This window comes from Homo sapiens, chromosome X, assembly GCF_000001405.40.
Source record: "Homo sapiens chromosome X, GRCh38.p14 Primary Assembly".
Lineage (NCBI taxonomy): Eukaryota > Metazoa > Chordata > Mammalia > Primates > Hominidae > Homo > Homo sapiens.
In genome coordinates, this window is record NC_000023.11 from 57351111 (window position 1) to 57370832 (window position 19722).

The following is a 19722-nucleotide window of genomic DNA, read 5'->3' on the forward strand; positions in this document are numbered from 1 at the left end:
ATTTTTAAAAATTGAAATTATATCAAGTATCTTTTCAGACCACAGTGGAACACTACTAGAAATTAATACCAACAGGAACTTTAGAAAGTATACAAATATATGGAAAGAAAACAACATGTTTGTGAATGACCATTGGGTCAATAAAGAATTTAAGATGGAAAGCAAAATATATTTGAAACAAAAATGGAAATGCAATGTAGTAAAACTTGTTGGTTACAGCAAAAGGAGTGTTAAGAGAGAAGTATATGGTAATAAAGGCTTACGTCCAAAAAAAGTACAAAGATTACAAAGTAACAATTTAATGATGCATATTAAGCAACTAGAAAAGCCTGAACTAATCAAGATTACATTTAGCAGAAGAAAAGAAATAGCAAATATTAAAACAGAGCTAAATGAAGTTGAGGCTAAAAACATAATACAAAGAATCAATGAAATTTGAAGTTGGACAGATAAAGAAAATTGATCAACTGTGAGCTAAGCTAACAAAAAAGGAAGAAGACCCAAATAAACACTGAAATGACAAAGGAAACATTGAAATTTATACCACAGATATAAAAAAAGATTATTGGAGACTATTATGAAAACTGTATGCTTAGAATCTAGAAAACCTATCAGAAACAGATACATTTCTGGAAACATAAAATCTATTGAGATTGATTCAGGAAGAAATAGAAAATCTGAGCAGACAACGAATGAGTAATGAGCCTGAGGCTGCTATAGAGTCTCAAAACAAAAACAAGCCAAGAATGGATTATTCACAGCTGAATTCTACCAAATAAATAAAGAACTATACCAATCATACTGATATTATTCCAAAAACTTGAAAAGGAGTGAATTAATTCCAACTTCATCAAGGCCAGGATCACTCTGATACCAAAACAAAATAAGGAAGCAAATATATGTGTGTGTGTATATATATATATATACATATATATATGTGTATATATATATATATACACATATATATATGTGTATATATATGCACATATATATATATGTGTATATATATGCACATATATATATATGTGTATATATATGCACATATATATACACATATATATATATGCCAATATTTTTAATATAGCTAGACACAAATATCTTCAACAAAATACTAGCAAAGTTGAATCTAACAACATGTCAAATAGACCACATACTATGATTAAGTGGGTGTTATACCAGGGATGTAAAAATGGTTCGACATAGGCAAATAAGTAAATGTGATATATCACATCAACAGAATCAAGAACAAAAACCTTGTTATCATTTCAATTGTCAAAGAAAAAGCATTCGATAAAACTTATCATGCCTTCATGGTAAAAAAATCAAAAAACTAGCCACAGAAGCAACATACCTAAAAATAATAAAGGCCACATATGACAACCCACCAGGTAACATCATACTAACTGGGGAAATGCTGAAAGCACTTCCTCTAACAACTGGAACAAAGCGAGAATACCCATGTTTGCTACTTTTCAATGTAGTACTGGAAGTGATAACTTGAACAACCAGGCAACAGCAATAAATAAAAGACATCCAATTAGAAAAAGACGAAGTTAAATAATCTCTGTTTGCCAAAGATATAATCTTAGATATAGAAAAACCCTAAGAACTTCACCAAAAATATTTAAATTTGATAAATGAATTCAGGAAAGGTTCAAGATACAAGAATCAGCACACAAAATCAGTATAATTTATATGTGCTAATTATGATCTGAGAAAGCATGAAGGCAATCTCATTTATGATAGTTACAAAAACAAACAAAATACCTGCTTATAAATTTAGCCAAGGAGGAGAAAGATTACTACAAAGAAAACTACAAAACACAGATAAAAGCAATTGAAGATTTCAAAAACAAATGGAAGAACATTCTATGCTCATACGTCAGAAGAATTAATATCATTAAAATGACCATATTACACAAAGAAATCTACAGATTCAGTGCAATTCCTATCAAAATACCAACATCATTTTCACAGTATTATAAAAAATTAAAATTTATATGGAACCAAAAAAGAACCCTAATAACTAAAGTGTTCCTGAGCAAAAATAAAAAAGCTAGAATAGTGCATTACCTCACTTCGGTAATATTATGAGGCGACAGTAAGCAAAACAACATGGTTCTGGTAAAAAAACAGATGCATAGGTCAATGGTACAGAATAGAGAACCCAGAAATAAAGCCACATAAATACAGCCAAGTGATCTTTGACAAAGGCAGCAATAATATACATTGTGGAAGTGAATCACTTTTCAATAAATGGTGCTGGGAAAATTGGATAGTCATATATAAAAGAATGAAACTAGACTACTTTATTTTGTCATATACAAAAATCAACTCAAAATTAATTAAAAACCTAAACAGAAGACCCCAAATTATTAAAAAAAAAAAAAGAAAAAAAAGAAAACCAAGGGGAAATTATTTTGGACATCTGTCTAGGCAAATACTTTATGACTAAGACCACAAAAGCACAGTCAATAGAAACAAAAATGGACAAATGTGACTTAATTAAATTTAAAACCTTTTGCCTAGCAAAGATGTAATCAACAGAGTGATGAAACAACCTGTTGAATGGAAGAAAGTATTTGCAAATTATTCATTCAACTGAAGACTTATATTCAGAATATATAACAAGCTCAACTCAACAATGATAAAACATTTCATTCACAACTGGGCAAAGGACATAAACAGACATTTTTCAAATAAAAGATATACAAATGGCCAATATGTATATGAAAAACGCTCAGTATCACTAGCTATCAGAGAAATGCAAGTCAAAACCAATGTGAGATTATATCTTACTCCAGTCAGAATGGGCATTATTACAAATACAGAAAGTAACAGATGTTGGCGAGGATTTGGAGACAAGGAAATCTTACACATTGTGCCAATATAAACAAGTGTAGTCTGTGAAAAACAGTATGGAGGTTTTTCAAAGGGGTAATAATAGAACTACTATTTCATCTAGCAATCTCTCTACTGGATAGCTACCCAAAGGGAAATCAATTATATTAAAAGCTACCTGCACTTGTATGTTTATACAGCATTATTCACAATAGCAGAGATATGGAATCAACCTAAGTGTTCATCAACATATGATTGGATAAATAAATTGTGGTATATATACACAATGGAATACTATTCTGCCATATGAAATCATGTCTTTTGCAGCAACATGGATGGAACTGACATCATTATATTTAGCAAAACATGCCCGTTACAGAAAGATAAGTATTACGTGTTCTCCCCAATAAGTGGGTGCTAAAAACGTTTTTTACATGGATGCAGAGAGTAGAATGATAGATAATGGACACTCAGAAGGGTGAGGCTGAGAGAGTGGAACACGATTAGAAATTTGTTAATGGGTACAATGCACATTATTCAGGTGATGGATACCCTGCAAGCCCTGATTTGACTGTTATGTAACCTGTGCATATACCAAAACTGCACATACATCTCATAAATTTGTACAAAACTAAAACCCACTGAATTACTTCAGTGGCAAATCTGTCACCAAGTTTGTCTGTGTTGTCATCTAAGTAAACCTTTGTTAAGTATACATAAAAATCTTGTACTTTATGAATTTAACTATGTAAAAAGAAAATTGAGATAAAAAGACTAAGGGAACATATGAAAATATTAATTATGGGTATTTTTTGCTAATGAGATTCTAGGTAAATTTAATTTTTATTCATTTCAGTATTTTCCAAATTTTCCATAATATATGTATGCTTTTTTAAAAAATTAGATGCTAATTTTTAAAATATTAATATGTCTAGTTTGATATGTCTTGTGTTCACATTTTAAAACATATACACAGCAAAAGGACTGAACAGAGTGTACCAAAATGTTTATCTGGCTAGCACTGCCAGGAATTTGCGTTCATTTTCTTCTTACTTTTTTATCAAATATTCTCTACTAAGTAGGTATTACATTTATACAGGAATAAACATTTTTTTGAATTTGAATTGTAACTATGCCTGTTACTAAATATGCACTTTTGTTATTTTAAATAACCTCCAGAGTCTCAGTTTCCCCACCTTTGAAAATGAGATAATACTTACCTCTTAGGTTAGTTCTGAATACAAAAACATGTGTTGGTTAAACATGTGCCAAAATTGTTTGTTTCTAAAATTTAAAATTGGCTTCTTTGTCTTTTTTTTTAGTAAGATAACAGATAAAAATGAAATTAGTCTATTTTTCTACTTGCCAGCAGAATATCTGTCTTATTTTAGGGAACAATGTGAAATTTACCATTTATATTAACAATTAGGTGTCAACCCATGAGAATAAAACACATTTCTAAGGGAAGAAAAAATAATCCATGGACATGAAATGCCATTCCATGTATTTATGCTTTATTTCAGCAATGGTTTGTAGTTTTCAATGTACAAATATTTTTCCTCTGTTGTTAAATTTGTTTCTATTTTACTCCTTTTCATGCCATTGTGAATGGGATTGCTTTCTTAATTTCATTTTCAGATTGTTCATTATTAGTTCATTGAAGTGTAACTGATTTATTTTTTTTTAATAACTATTAACTTCTTCGAATTCATTTTTAACCATTAGCAGTTTCTCTTTATGGACTCTTTAGGGTTTTCTACATACACGATCATGCAATCTGCAGAAATAACTTCATGTGTTCCTTTCAAATTTTGTTGTCTTTTATTTATTTTTGTCACTTAATTATTCTGACTAGAACTTTCAGTTTTATATTGGATAGATGGGGCAAGAATAGTCATTCCTTCTTTGTTCTTCATTTTAGATGAAAAATTTTCAGTCTTTCAACATTGAGCATGTTAGCTTTGAACTTTTCATATATAGCCTTTATTATGTTGAGGCAATTATTGTCTATTCTTTATTTGTTGGCTTTTTTGTCATGAAGGAGGGTTGAATTGTTTCATATGATTTTCTGCATCAATTGAGATAGTCATCTGGGTTTTCTCTTAATTTTATTAATGTGGATTAATACATTGATTTTCATATTTAGGACAATTGTTTCATTCCAGCAATACATTTTACATGGCCACTCTTGTAATGTGTTCTTGGATTCTATTTTACTAGTAGTTTGTTGAATATATTTGCATCCATGTTTATCAGGGATATTGGTCTATAGTTTTCTTGTAGTAACAGTATATGGTTTGGTATCAGGGTAACACTGGCTTTGTAAAATGAGTTTGGAAATATTATATTCAATTTTTGGATGAATTTGAAGATGATTAGTATTATTTAAAAAAAAAGTTAGATAGAATTCTTCTGTGAAGGTATCTGTTCCTGGGATTTCCTGTGCTGTGAAGTTTTAAATTACTGATTCAATTTCTTTACTAGCTATAGGTTCTTTCAGATTTTTTCTCTCTTCATGATTCACTCTTAGTATGTTGTGTGTTTTTAATAATTTATAGATTTTCTCTAGGTTACCAAATTTATTGATCTATATTTTTTAATGTATTGCTTTATAATACTTTTTATTTCTGTGGCATCATTTATAATGTCCGCTCTTTTATTTCTGTTTTTAGTTACTTGAGGTTTCTCTTTTTTCTTAGTCAACCTAGCTACAAGCTTGTCAATTTTGTTGATATCTTACTAAACCCAGTTCTTAATTTTGTTGTTTTTTCTGTTGATTTTTTAACTTACTAAATTCTATTTTATTTATCACTGCTTTAATTTTAATTTTTATTATTTATTTATTTTAATTATTATACGTTAAGTTCTGGGATACATGTGGAGAATGTGCAGGTTTGTTACATAGGTATATACGTGCAATGGTGATTTGCTGCACCTATCCACCCGCTAGCTACATTAGGTATTTTTTCTACTGCTATCCCTCCCCTAGCCCTCCACCCTCTGACAAGCCCTGATATGCGATGTTCCTCTCACTGTGTCCATGTGTTCTCATTGTTCAACTCCCACTTATGAGTGAAAACATGTGATGTTTGGTTTTCTGCTCCTGTGTTTGTTTGCTGAGAATGATGGTTTCCAGATTTCCTATTTAATAAATGGTGCTGGTAAAACCGGCTAGCCATATGCAGAAAACTGAAACTGGACCCCTTCCTTACACCTTATACAAAAATTAACTCAGGATGGATTAAAGACTTAAATGTAAGACCTAAAACCATGAAAACCCTAGAAGAAAACCTAGGCAATACCATTCAGGACATAGGCATGGGTAAAGACTTCATGACTAACACACCAAAAACAATGGCAACAAAAGCCTAAATTGACAAATGGGATCTAAATAACCTAAAGAGCTTCTGCACAGCAAAAGAAACTATCATCAGAGTGAACAGGCAGCCTATAGAATGGGAGAACATTTTTGCAATCTATCCATCTGACAAAGGGCTAATATCCAGAATCTACAAGAAACTTAAACAAAATTTACAAGAAAAAAACAAACATCCTCATCAAAAAGTGGGCAAAGGATATGAATAGAGACTTCTCAAAAGGAGACATTTATGCAGACAACAAATGTATGAAAAAAAGCTCATCATCACTGGTCATTAGAGAAATGCACATCAAAACCACGATAAGATACCATCTCATGCCAGTTAGAGTGGCGATAATTAAAAAGTCAGGAAACAACAGATGCTGGAGAGGATGTGGAGAAATAGGAATGCTTTTACACTGTTGGTTAGAGTGTAAATTAGTTCAACCATTGTGAAGACAGTGTGGTGATTGCTCAAGGGTATAGAACCAGAAATACCATTTGACCCAGCAATCCTTTTACTGGGTATACACCCAAAGGATTATAAATCATTCTACTATAAAGACACATGTTCATGTATGTTTATTGAAGCACTGTTCACAATAGCAAAGACTTGGAACCAGCCCAAATGCCCATCAATGATAGACTGGTTAAAGAAAATGTGGCAAATATACACCATGGAATACTATGCAGCCATAAAAAAAGGATACGTTTATGTCTTTTGCAGGGACATGGATGAATCTGCTCTACTTTTTATTATTTCTTTCCTTCAGATAAGGTTGGCTTTATAGTGTTCTTCTTTGCCTAGTCCCTTGAGGTGAAAAGTTAGGTAGTTAGTTTGAGATCTTTTTTTTTTTTAAATTTTATTTAAAAAATTGTATTGTATTTTGGTAAGAACATTTAACATGACACCTACCCTCTTAACTGATTTTTAAGTTTCCAAACAGTAGTCTTCATTTGGGCACAATACTTTACAGCAGATCTCTAGTATTTATTCATCTTGCATAACCAAAACTTTATATCACATGAATAGCAATTCCCCATTTCTCCCTTTCTCCATCTCCTGACAATCATCATTTCACTCTCTGCCTCTATGAGTTTGACAAATTTAGATAACTCATATAAGTGGAATCACACAGTATTTGTCCTTCTGTTTTATTTAGCATAATGTCCTCAAGATGCATTTATAGTGCTGCATTTTGCAAGGTTTCCTTGTTTATGAAGGCTCAACAATTTCCATTATATATGTATGTGTGTGTGTGTATATATATAGAGAGAGAGTTTCTCAACCTGTTCATCTGTTGATGGACATTTAGGTTATTCCCACCTCTTGGTTATTGTAAGTAGTGCTGCATTGATATTCAGAATGCTAAATCTCTTTGAAATTCTAGAATTCAAGATCTGAGTATTTAGGTGGATAAATATCTAGAAGTGAGATTGCTGGATCATGTGAATCTCCTATTTTTACATTTTTGGGGGATCTTCATAATGTTTTTAATGGAGGCTGAACCTTTTTGCATTCCCAGCAACAGTACAAAAATTTCTGATTCCTCTACATCCTTGTCAGCACTTGTGAGTTATTTTTTATTTTTGTGGGTACATAGTAGGTGTATATATTTATGGGGTACATGAGATATTTTGATACAGGCATAAAATGCATAGTAATCATATCAGGGTGAATGGGATTTTCATCACCTGTAGCATTTATCCTCTTCTTGTGTTACAAACAATCCAATTATACTCTTTCGGTTATGTTTAAATGTACAATATATTACTGTTGACTGACTGTAGTCACACTGTTGTGCTATCATACACTAGATCTTATTTATTCTATCTAACTATGTATTTGTACCCATTAACAATCCTCCCTCCCCTCATCCTTCACTACCCTTACCAGCCTCTGGTAACCATGATTTTACTCCTAAGAGATCTTCCTTCTTCTTTAATGTAAATGCTTACTGCTACATACCAACCTGTTTATATAGCTTTTGCTGCATCCCATATGTTTAGGTATGTTGTAATTTAATTTGTCTTAAGGTATTTTCTAATTTTCATTCTGATTTCTTCTTTCACTTGTTGGTTGTTTGAGTATATTGTTAAATTTCCAGTCTTCATGGATTTTCTAGTTTCCCTTCCGCTATTGATTTCTAGTTTTATTCCAATAGATTGGAAATCATGTTTTGTACATTATTTAGGCCTGGCCACTGCACCTGTCCCAAATAATATATATTTTAGCTGACAACAAATTAACTTCAACCACATATGAAAACTTTATTCTTGTACATATCTGCCCCTCTTTATGTTATTGATGTCAAAATTATATTGTGCATCTGGTATCATAGATTCATAGTTATTTTCATGTTTTTGTCCTTTAATCTCCATACCAGAATTAGAAGTGATTTATAAACCAATATTATAGTATCACAGGATTTAATATCTGTCTGCGTATTTACCTCTACCAGAGATCTTTGTTATTTATGGTTTTATGTTGCTAACAAGTGTCTTTTGATTTCAACTTGAAGGACTCCTTTTGGCAATTCTTGATGGCAGGTGTAAAGGGGATGAAAAACCTCAGTTTATGTTTATCTTGGAAGGTCTTAATTTTTCCTTCAGTTTTGAAGAACAGTTTTGCTGAACATAGTGTTTTTATTTTTCAGGGTGTTTTTTTTTTTTTCTCAGCCCTTTGAATATATCATTCCAGTCCTTTCTGTACTGTAAGGTTTCTGCTGGGAAATATGGTGATAGTCTTATGGAAACTTCTTTCTGCACAGTGAGTAGCTATTCTCCTGCTACCTATAAGATTCTCTCTTTATCTGTGATTTTTGACTGCTTGATTATAATTTGTCTTGGTATGAGTCTGCTTGGGTTTATCTTAGAGTTTCATTTTTTAGCTTTTCCCATTTTTATGTAACTTTCCTCAAAATTGAGAAGTTTTTGGCCTTCTTTCTTCAAATAATTCCTCTTCCCTTTTACTTTTTTATGGGTATTTCATATGCATACATTTGTCCGGTTGATGGTGTCACATGAGTTTCTTAGACTCTCTTCACTTTCCTTCATTTGTTTCTTTTTTGCTCATCTGAGATGAAAATTTTAAATGACCTATTTTAAGGTTTGCTAATTATTTGTTCTGCTTGATCTAGTCTGCTTTTGTACCCCTCTACCAAATTTTGCAATTCCATTATTCTATTCTTCAGCCTCAGAACTTAGTTTTTTAAAATAGGTTCTATCTCTTTATTGATATTCTCATTTTGTCTGTTTTCTCTTTTAGTTATTGAGCATTTTTAAGATGGTTATTTTGAATTCTTTATCAGATAATTCATAAACCCTTTTTAAAAATTGTTTTCTTGTTTTTAAATTTTCTTAATTTTACTTTAAGTTCTAGGATACAAGTGCAGAATGTGTAGGTTTGTTACATAGGTATAGGTGTGCCATGGTGGTTTGCTGCACCTATCAACCCGTCATCTAGGTTTTGAGACCCACATTCATTAGCTATGTGCCCTAGTGCTCTTCCTCCCCTCACCCCCACCCACCGACAGGCCCCGGTGTGTGTTGTTCCCCTCCCTGTGTCCATGTGTTCTTATTGTTCAACTGCCACTTATGAGTAAGAACATGCAGTGTTTGGTCTTCCATCCCTGTGTTAGTTTGCTGAGGGTGATGGCTTCCAGCTTCATCCACGTTCCTGCAAAGGACATGATCTCATTCCTTTTTATGGTTGCATAGTATTCCATGGTGTATATGTACCACATTTTCTTTATCCAGTCTCTCCCTCCCTTCTCCATAAATTTTTGGATAATTTGAGTAGAATTATAATTAGTTCTTTCTTAAATATTTGATAGAATTCAGCAGTGAAACCATCAGGTTACTGCTTCTATCTCATTACTCATAATTAGTTTGCTCAGATTTTTTATTTTTCCATGGCTCACCATCTTAGGTTATATATGTAAATACTTTTTTTTAGTTTTTCAAAATTACTGGCATATAGTTATTCATAATAACTTCTTTCTTTCTTTCTATTAATTTAAGGTTTGGCATGTTGTTGCTCTTCTAGTTCTCAAAGGTGCAGCATGAGGTTGTTTATAAACTCTTTCTACTTTTTTGATATATGCATTTATTTCTATAAACTTTCCTCTTAGTACAACTACTAATGTATCCCATGGGTTTTGATATTTTGTATTTCCATTTTATTTTTCTGTCAAGAAATTAAGATTTTTTCCTAAATTTCTTTATTTACTTATTGTTTGCTCCACAGCATGCTATTTAATTTTCATGTATTTGTTTAGTCTCCAAAATTCCTCTTGTTATTGATTTCCAGTATTATTTAATTGAGGTCAAAGAAGATATGTGATATTATATATATATTTTTTTAAATTGTAAGACTTTCTTTGTAGCCCAATATGTGTTCTCTCTTGGAGAATGTCCATGAAATGATGAGAAGGTTGTGTATTTTGCAGTCATTGGATAAAATGCATCCTTTTCTCTCAGATTGAACAATTCCCTTTAGTGTTTCTTATATGACAGTTCTAGTGGTTATGAAATCCCTCATCTTGTTTGTCTGGAAAACTCATTATATTTTTTTCATGTTTGAAGGAAACTCTGGTAGGCACAATAGTCTAAGTTCAAAGTTTTTTTTCCTTCATTATTTTGAAGATAGCATCCCACTCTCCTCTTTTCTGTAAGATTTCTGCTGAGAAGTTTGCTTTCAGACTATCAGAGCTCCTCATAAGTTATTTGCTCCATCTTACCGATTTTATGGTCCTTTCTTTGTTCTTGACCCTAGAGTTTGATTTTTTTTTCAAATTTTATTTTAAGAACAGGGGATAAAGAAAATGTGGCACATATACATCATGGAATACTATGCAGCCACAAAAAAAGATGAGTTCATGTCCTTTGCAGGGACATGGATGAAGCTGCAAACCATCATTCTCAGCAAAATAACAGAAGAACAGAAAACCAAACACCACATGTTCTCACTCATAAGTGGGAGTTGAGCAATGAGAACACACGGACACAGGGAGAGGAACATCACACACTGGGGCCTGTCGGTGGGTGGGAGGCTAGGGGACAGATAGCATTAGGAGAAATACCTAATGTAGATGACGGGTTGATGGGTGCAGCAAACCACCATGGCACGTGTATACCTATGTAACAAACCTGCATGTTCTGCACATGTATCCCAGAACTGGATATTAGGCCTTTGTCAGATACATAGTTTGCAAATATTTTCTCTCATTTTAGAAGTTTTCTGTTTACTCTGTTGATGGTTTCTTTTGCTGTGCAAAAGCTCTTTCACTTAATTATGTCCTACTTGTCAAATTTTGTTTTTGTTGCAACTGCTTTTGGGTACTTAGATATAAATTTTTTCCAAAGGATGATGTCCAGATGGTGTTTTCTAGATTTTCTTCTATGATGTTTATAAGTTTAGTCTTACATATGTCTAATCAATCTTGAGTTAAGTTTTGAATATGGTGAAATGTATTTTGCACATGACTAGCCAGTTATCTAAACACCATTTATTGATAGGTACTTCATTCCCCATTGCTTGTTATTGTCAACTTTGTGGAAGACCAGGTTGTTATAGATTTGAAGCTTTATTTCTGGGTTCTCTATCCTGTTCCATTGGTCTAGGTGTCTGGTTTTATAACAATATGATGTTGCTTGGTTACTGCAGCCTTGTAGTATAATTTGAAGTTGAATAATGTGATGCCTCCAGCTTTGTTCTCTTTACTTAAAATTGCTTTGGCTATTCGGGCTTTTCTTGGTTCCATATGAATTTTAGAATAGATTATTCTAATTCTGCAATAACTCACATTGAGAGTTTGATGGGGATAGCAAGGAATCTGTAAATGGCTTTGGGAAGTATGGCCATTTTAACAATATTAATTCTTCAAATTCATAGGCATAGAATGTTTTACTTTTTTTGTCATCTCTGATTTATTTTAGCAGAGTTTTATAATTCTCAAACTAGAAAACTTTCACCTCCCTGGTTAGCTATATTCCTAAGTATTTTATTATCTTTGTGGCTATCATAAATATATTACATTCTTCATTTGGCTCTCAGCATGAACATTATTGGTGTATAAAAGTACTACTGATTTTTGTGCATTGATTTTGTATCCTGAAACTCTAAGTAGTTTATCAATTCTAGGAGTCTTTTGGCAGAGTGTTTAGGACTTTCTATGTATAAGACTATATAATCTGTAAAGAGAAATAAAATGACTTCCTTTCTTTTATTTGGATGCCTTTTTTTCTTACTCTTGCCTGATTGCTCTGGCTAGGACTTCCCAGCACTATGTTGAATAGGAGTGATGAGGGTGGGCACCCTTGTCTTTTTCCACTTCTCAAGGGGAACACTTCCAGCTTTAGTCAATTTAGGATAACATTGGCTGTTAGTTTTTCAATGATGGTTCTTATTATTTTGAGGTATGTTCTATGGTGCCTAATTTTTAGAGGATTTTTAACATTGGAGGTATGATGAATTTTATCAAAAGCCTTTTCTGCATTCATTGAGATAGTCATATATTTTTTAAAGGAAATCTGTTTATGTGGTTAATCACATTCAGTGATTTGCATATGTTGAGCAATCTCTGCACCCCAGGAATAAGACATTAATTACCTTCTTTATATGCTTCAGGATTTCATTTGCTAGTATGTTGTTGAGGATTTTTGCATCTATGTTCATCATAGATGTCGGCCTGTAGGGTTTTTTTTTTTTTTTTTTTTTTTTGTATTGGTGGGCTTAGGTGTCAGAATGATTCATGCTTCACAGAATGAGTTAGGGAAGACTCCCTCCTTGACTTTTTGGAATAATTTAAGTAGTATGGGTATCAGATTTTCTTTGTACATCTGGCAGAATTTGGCTATGAATCCGTTTGGTGCAGGGCTTTTTTCTTGGTAGTTTTTAAATTACTGATTTAATTTTGGAATGCATTATTGGTCTTTTCAGGGTTTCAGTTTCTTTCTGGTTCAATCTTGGGAGGTTGTGAGTTTCCAGGAATGTATTCATTTCTTCTGTGTTTTCTAGGTTGTGTGCAGAGAGGTGTTTGTAATAGTCTCTACAGATTTTTTTGTGTTTCTGTGTGGTCACATGCAACATAATCTTCATCACTTCTGCTTGTGCTTATTTGGATCTTCTCCTTTTTTTTTTTTTTTTTTGCTAATAGATCCCCTAGTGTTTTGGTCTTGTCAATTCTTCCAATGATTCAACTTTTGATTTTGTTGATCTTTTGTATGGATTTTGCTATCTAGATTTTGCTCAGCTCTTAATTTTAGTTATTTCTTTTTAAATAGTAACTTTAGAGTCTCTCTTGCTTGTCTAGTTCCACCAGGTGTAATGTTAGGGTATTAATTTGAGATTTTTCTAATTTCTTGATGTAGTTGCTCAGCACTCTCCACTTCCCTCTTAACAGGTTTTCCCTGTGTCCCAAGATGCTGGTATGTATTGACTCTGATTTCATTAATTTCAAAAAGTTTTTTTGGTTACTGCTTTACTTTCAATCTTAACCAAAAAGTCATTCAGGAGCATGTTGCTTAATTTCCATGTAATTATGTGGTTTTGAGGGATTGTCTTGGTATTGATTTCTATTTTTATTGCACTGTGGTCTATGAGTGTAGTTGTTATTATATATTTTTTAAAATTAGTTTGGATGTGTTTTATGGTGGAGCATATGGTTGAGCTTAGAATATATACTATATACAGATGAGAAAAACTGTTAGTTGGAGTATTCTGTAGATAGCTATTAGGTCCAATTGATCAAGTATAAAGATTTATTCCAGAATACCTTGGTTTGTTTTTTGCTTTGATTATCTGTGTAACTTGTCAATGGCATGTTGATGTCTTCCACTTTTACTGTGTGGTTGTTTCTGCATGTTTTTGTGGCTGCAGGTACTGGTCTTTCATTTCCATATTTAGCACTCACTTAAGGACCCCTTGAAAGGCTGGTCTGACGTTAACAAATTTTGTAGCATTTGCTTGTCTGAAAAAGATTTTATTTCTCTTTCACTTATGAAGTTAGTTTGGTAGAATATGACATTCATGGTTGGAATTTCTTTTGTATAGGGATGCTGATTATAGGCCTCCACTCTCTTCTGGTTTCTAAGATTTCTGCTGAAAGTTCTGCTATTAGCCTGATGGGGTTCCATTTGTAGGTGACATGCTCCTTCTCTCTAGCTGCCATTAACATATTTTCTTTCACATTGACCTTGAAGAATCTGATGACTCTGTGCTTTTGGCATGGTTGTCTTGTGTAGTATCTTGCAAGGGTTCTCTGCGTTTCCTATATTTGCATGTCAATCTCTCTAGCAACATTGGGGATGTTTTTATGGACAATATACTCCAATATTTCTTCCACATTGCTTGCTCTCTCTGTCTCTTTCAGGAATGCCATTCAGTCTGAGGTTCTGTCTTTTTATAGAATCCTGCATTTCTCAGAGCTTTTGTTCATTTTTTCTCTATTCTTCACCATTGTCGTCCTATGTTGAATCAAAGGAGAAGTTTCTGAGTGCTGATACTTTTTCCTCAGCTTGGTCTGTTACGTTATTAATGCTTCCAATTGCACTCTGAATTTCCTGCAGTGAATTTTTCATTTTCAGATCAGTTTGTTTTTTCTTAAAATGGCAGCTATCTTTCAACTCTTGAACTATTTTATTGTGTCCCTTGGATGTTTTTCAAGTTTCTCTTGTATGTTGATGAGCTTCCTTGCTGTCCAGATTCTAATTTCTATGTGTGTAATTTCAGCCATTACAGTCTGCTTAAGAACCATTGGTGAGTTTGTTTGGAGGTAAGAAGACACTCTAACTTCTAATGTTGCCAGAGTTCTTGCACTATTTCTTTCTTTCTTTCTTTCTTTTTTCCATCTGTGTGGGCTGATGTTCCTTTAGTTTTTGGAGTTGCTGCCTTTTGGATGAGGCTTTTGCTTTTTTCTTTCTTTGATGTTCTTGAGGGTTTGACTGTTATAAGTTAGGTTTAGTTGATTGGCATCATTTTCAGATGCTTTCAGGGGCTAAGACTCAGCTGAGCACTCCTGGGCTACATGCTCTATCCCTGGTGAACTGGGACCTGGCCCACAGCTTTGTTCTTTTGCCCCTTGGGGGTTAAATATCTGTTGCCCTGGAGGGGCCAATGTGTTCCCAGCCCATTGGTGACAACACTAACAGACGCTGCTAGCAAAGGTACTCCAGTGGGCTTGTGGTCATCCCCCACATGGGTGCACGCCAGTGGGGCAGCAGGGGTCCCAAAGCTTGCTCATGCCTGCAGGGTGGTGTGTTTTCCATACGCATGTGCATGCTGGCAGGGTGATGAGGGGAGACTGTGGGCAAGCATACACCCACAAGGGAAGGCTGTGGGTGGTCATGTGCTGCTGGAAGTCTGTCTGCAAAAACACTCAAACAGTTAAGCAGGGCTTGCCACTGAGGGATCGATGGCAGTGGATGCTGGTAAACAGTGGAGGCTGCACTGCAAGTGGCTGTAGCTAGGCAGGACCCTGGCAGAGGTTAGCAGATAAGGGGGAGCTCAGATCAGACTGGCCCTGTCCCACAGGCAACACAGCCATGTTCTTTTCGGTTCCAACAAAGGCTAGAGCTGCCTGGTGGAATATGGCAGTCTTTGGGGAATTGGCAGCCATGGCTATGCTCCACTGCAGTCATTTCTACACAAAACCTCTGGACTCCATACAGGCTGGAGTTCTGTCTCTGCCAACTCTCCAGGCAGTTCTCCTTGCTAGCTCAGGTGTACGTGGTGGTTGTGTGTCAAATGTCTTTTCCTATATTTATCTCTGTATTGTATAAACTCATACGAAATAACCTTGCATTGCTTTTTAAACATTGAAATATATCATGCACAGCATATATAAGTGATAACGTATTCAGATAAGATGTTGATTATTATAAAGGAAAGCACAAAATGTCAGCATCTAAGGTTAACTTAGGATCTGTCAGAGGGTCCATGAAGTCGAAATTATTTTATAATAATGCTAAGATATAATTGGCCTTTTTCATTATGTTGACATTTGTAGTCATGTTTCAAAAGCAATGTTATCCAAAGTGGCTGCACCTTAGCATGAACAAGGCAATGACACTAAATTGCACTGCTAGTCATTGTATTCTTTACTGCTACACACTGTTAGTAAAAATATAAATAAAAACAAAAGTTACAAAAAATGTAAAAAAGGATTGATATCAGCAAGACCATTTAGAAGCTCTTCATACTTTTCCCTCTCATAAAACAAGGGCAAAAACAATGAATAAACAACTACATTTTAACTATATTATCTGAAAAAGAATGCTAGAGCACAGCAAAGGAGTAGCAGAGACTCTGTGGAACATGCAGGCTCAGGATGGCTTCATAGACAAGGAAGCAAAGTATTCTGCTGCTGTTACTTTATCTCCTCAAATGGGATTCACTCAGAACTAAGGGGGACTTCCCTCTGCACCAGAAAGTAAGAAGGAGGTTTCTAACAGCCCCTCTTAAGATCATGGATGTCTGCAGTCCTTCCTGCTGAAGAATCCTGCAGTTCTCACAGATGCTGAGCCAAGTTTGGAAAGCTGCCAGGATTTCACACAGCTGCATTGTTAAAGAAAGAGCCCACATTTGCCCCCGTTCTTATTTGACCTAAGCTGCTGCTGCACAGTGCTATCTTATAACTGGAGCCACTGCTATATTGTGTCTTGCTCATGAGGGCAATAACCACTTCATGCCTCCATCCCTGAGGTTTTGCCATCATTACACCATGCTCATACCTAGTAGTACACCATTACTCAGCCAAACTATTATGGGTCACTCCCCTTTGGAACAAGCTGCCTAGGAGGTCTTCCATCTACCCCATTCCAGTGTCTACCATACCCCAACCCTGGTTACTCCAAGCCTGGCTCCAGCAAAACAGCTGCAAATCTAGCAGCCAAATACACAAGGCACACTGAACCCACCCCCACCCCCAAACCCAGAGAATAGTTAGTGCTGTGCACAGCACAGAAGCTGAGTACAAAGAGCTAGGCCCCTGCATGCACCCTCAGTGGACAAACTAGGCTGGTGCTTTGCCTATGTGGGAGCAGTGCACAAGCTTGTGGGCAAGCTCAGCACTCTCTTGATGTGAGAACCAGCCTGGTGTCCTGCCCCAAGGGGAACAGCAGACAAGCAGAGGACCAGCTGTATGCTCTCTTGGCACACAAAAGAGCTTGGTGGCATACCCCATGGAACAACACACATATGAATGCATAAATCGTGAACTCCCTCTGCATGTGGAGCAGCTTATGTCCCACCCACAGTGGAGCAGCACCAGAGACACTGATGCTCACAAAGGCATTGCTGGTGTTGACTACAGCTGAAGGAACTGCATAGAGACTATGCTATTGCACTCACTGGAATCAAAGCCAGCATGCTCTACCCAATCAAGCCCTAGGAAACATCAGCAGGTAAAAGTATCTCCACATGAAAGACACTTGATAATATTGGAAAAGATAACCATTCCACCTTATGCATGGGTATTAATATAGGGACACAAGACACATGAAAAGTCAAGGAAATATGACATTACCAATGAAACACAATAATTTTGTGGTAACTGACCCCCCAAAATGGAAATTTCTAATTTTTTTTAAAAAGTAATTCAAAATAATGACTCAAGAAAACTCAGAAATATACAAGAGTACACAGACACACACTGCAACAAAATCAGAAAAACAATTCATAGTATGAATGAGAAATTGATCAAAGAGATACATATAATGGAAAAGAAACAAACATAAATTGTGGAGCTGAAGAATTCAACCAACGAAATAAATAAGACTGAGAGCTTTAGCAGTATACTAGATCCAGCAGAAGAAAGAATTTTTAAACTTGAGGAATGTGTTTTGAAACAGTCCAGTCAAAAGGAATAAAAATAAAATAATGTAAAAGAGCAAATAATGTAAAAGAGCAAATGAAATAGGTGGTACATCATTAATCAAACAAACTTCTGCATTCTAGAGATTTCAGTAGAAGAGATGGAGAAAAGCACAGGAAGCTTATTTAACAAAATAGTAGCTGAAAATTTCCCAAATTTTGGAAGAGATGTGGATATCCAGATCCATGAAGCTCAAAGGACTCCAGATTCAACCCAAAGAGGTCATCTCTGAGGCCTGTTATAATCACACTGTTAAGACCTAAAGAATTATAAAAGAAACATCAGAAAATTGTCAAGTCACATATAAAAGGATCTCCATCTGACTGACAGCAGATTTATCAGCTGAAACCTTGCAGGCCTAAGGAGAATGGGATGGTATATCAAAGTGCTGGGGAATAAATTGAGGTAAAAATGCCATACCCAACAAAACTATTCTTCCAAAATGAAAGAGAAATAAAGTCTTTACCTGACAAACAAAAGTTGAGGAAACTCACCATCAATTATCTTTACATTAAATGCTTAAGGGAGTGATTCAGCTGGAAGTAAACATATAGTTACTAAGAGGAAATCATATGAAACTATAACTAATAAAGGTAAATTTGTTGTGAAATTCAGAACACTCCATTATTATAAAGTAATATAATTTTTCAAATCTCTATGAAGGTTAAAATCACAATGGTAAATAATACCTATAGCTACAACAAGTTGTAAGTGGACACAAAATATTAAAACATGCAAATGGAGATACAAAGTTATGAATTTTAAGAAATCTAGAATGTATGTGACCAAACTTATTATCAACTTAAAATTATTTATTGTAACTGTAAGCTTTTCATGTAAGCCCTATAGTAGCCACTAACAGCAAATTACAGCACATAAACATATAAGAAAGGGGAAGGAATACAAAGCTTATTACTATGGAAAACCCCCAAATGACAAACGTAAAAAAATGAGAGGTGAAGAAAGGAACAAAGGATACAAAATATTTAACAAAATGGCCGAAGCTAGTCCTTAGTAACCAATAATAACCTTAAATGTAAATGAATCAAATTCTACAATTGAAACATATAAAGTGGATGAATAGATAAAAAAATATAACCCAGATAAGAAAAACATAACCCAGCTGTATGCTGCCCATGAGAGACGCATATTACCTGTTTTTCCAGTTCCAGTTGTTACTGGAAAAAGAGACTAAGAAGATCATTATATAATGACAAAAGTTGATTCAGCAAAAGGATATAACAATTGTTAATATATAGGCACCCAACACTGGAGCACACAAATATATAAGGCAAATATTAGATATAAATGGAGAGGTAGCCTGCCATATAATAACAGTTGGGGACTTCATTCACTTTCAGCAATGAAATGATTATCTAGGCACAAAATTAATGAAAACTCAGATATAAACTATACTCTAGACCAGGGGTCCCCAACCCCCAGGCCATGGACCAGTACCAGTCCATCGCCTGTTAGAAACTGGCTGCACAGCAGAAGGTGAGTAGTAGGTGAGTAAGCATTACCACATAAGTTTTGCCTTCTGTTAGATCAGCAGCAGCATTAGATTCTCATAGGAGCATGAACCCTTTTGTGAACTGAGTATGCAGGGGATCTAGGTTGTGTGCTTCTTATGAGACTCTAATGCCT

General features: G+C 34.6%; 1 protein-coding gene across 18 annotated transcripts in view, besides 2 other annotated features; it reads left to right on the plus strand.

Annotated features, from left to right (window-relative positions):
* The window catches only part of FAAH2 (fatty acid amide hydrolase 2), a 367606-nt gene that overhangs the window by 229520 nt on the left and 118364 nt on the right, over window positions 1-19722 (plus strand). The window lies entirely within an intron of this gene.
* Window positions 15012-15513: an enhancer, noted in NCBI's record as "H3K4me1 hESC enhancer chrX:57392555-57393056 (GRCh37/hg19 assembly coordinates)". NCBI's record gives its function as "activates a minimal SCP1, AML or CMV promoter by ChIP-STARR-seq in naive H9 embryonic stem cells {active_cell/tissue: H9 hESC(naive)}" and the evidence as "EXISTENCE:reporter gene assay evidence [ECO:0000049][PMID:30033119]".
* Window positions 15514-16013: an enhancer, noted in NCBI's record as "H3K4me1 hESC enhancer chrX:57393057-57393556 (GRCh37/hg19 assembly coordinates)". NCBI's record gives its function as "activates a minimal SCP1, AML or CMV promoter by ChIP-STARR-seq in naive H9 embryonic stem cells {active_cell/tissue: H9 hESC(naive)}" and the evidence as "EXISTENCE:reporter gene assay evidence [ECO:0000049][PMID:30033119]".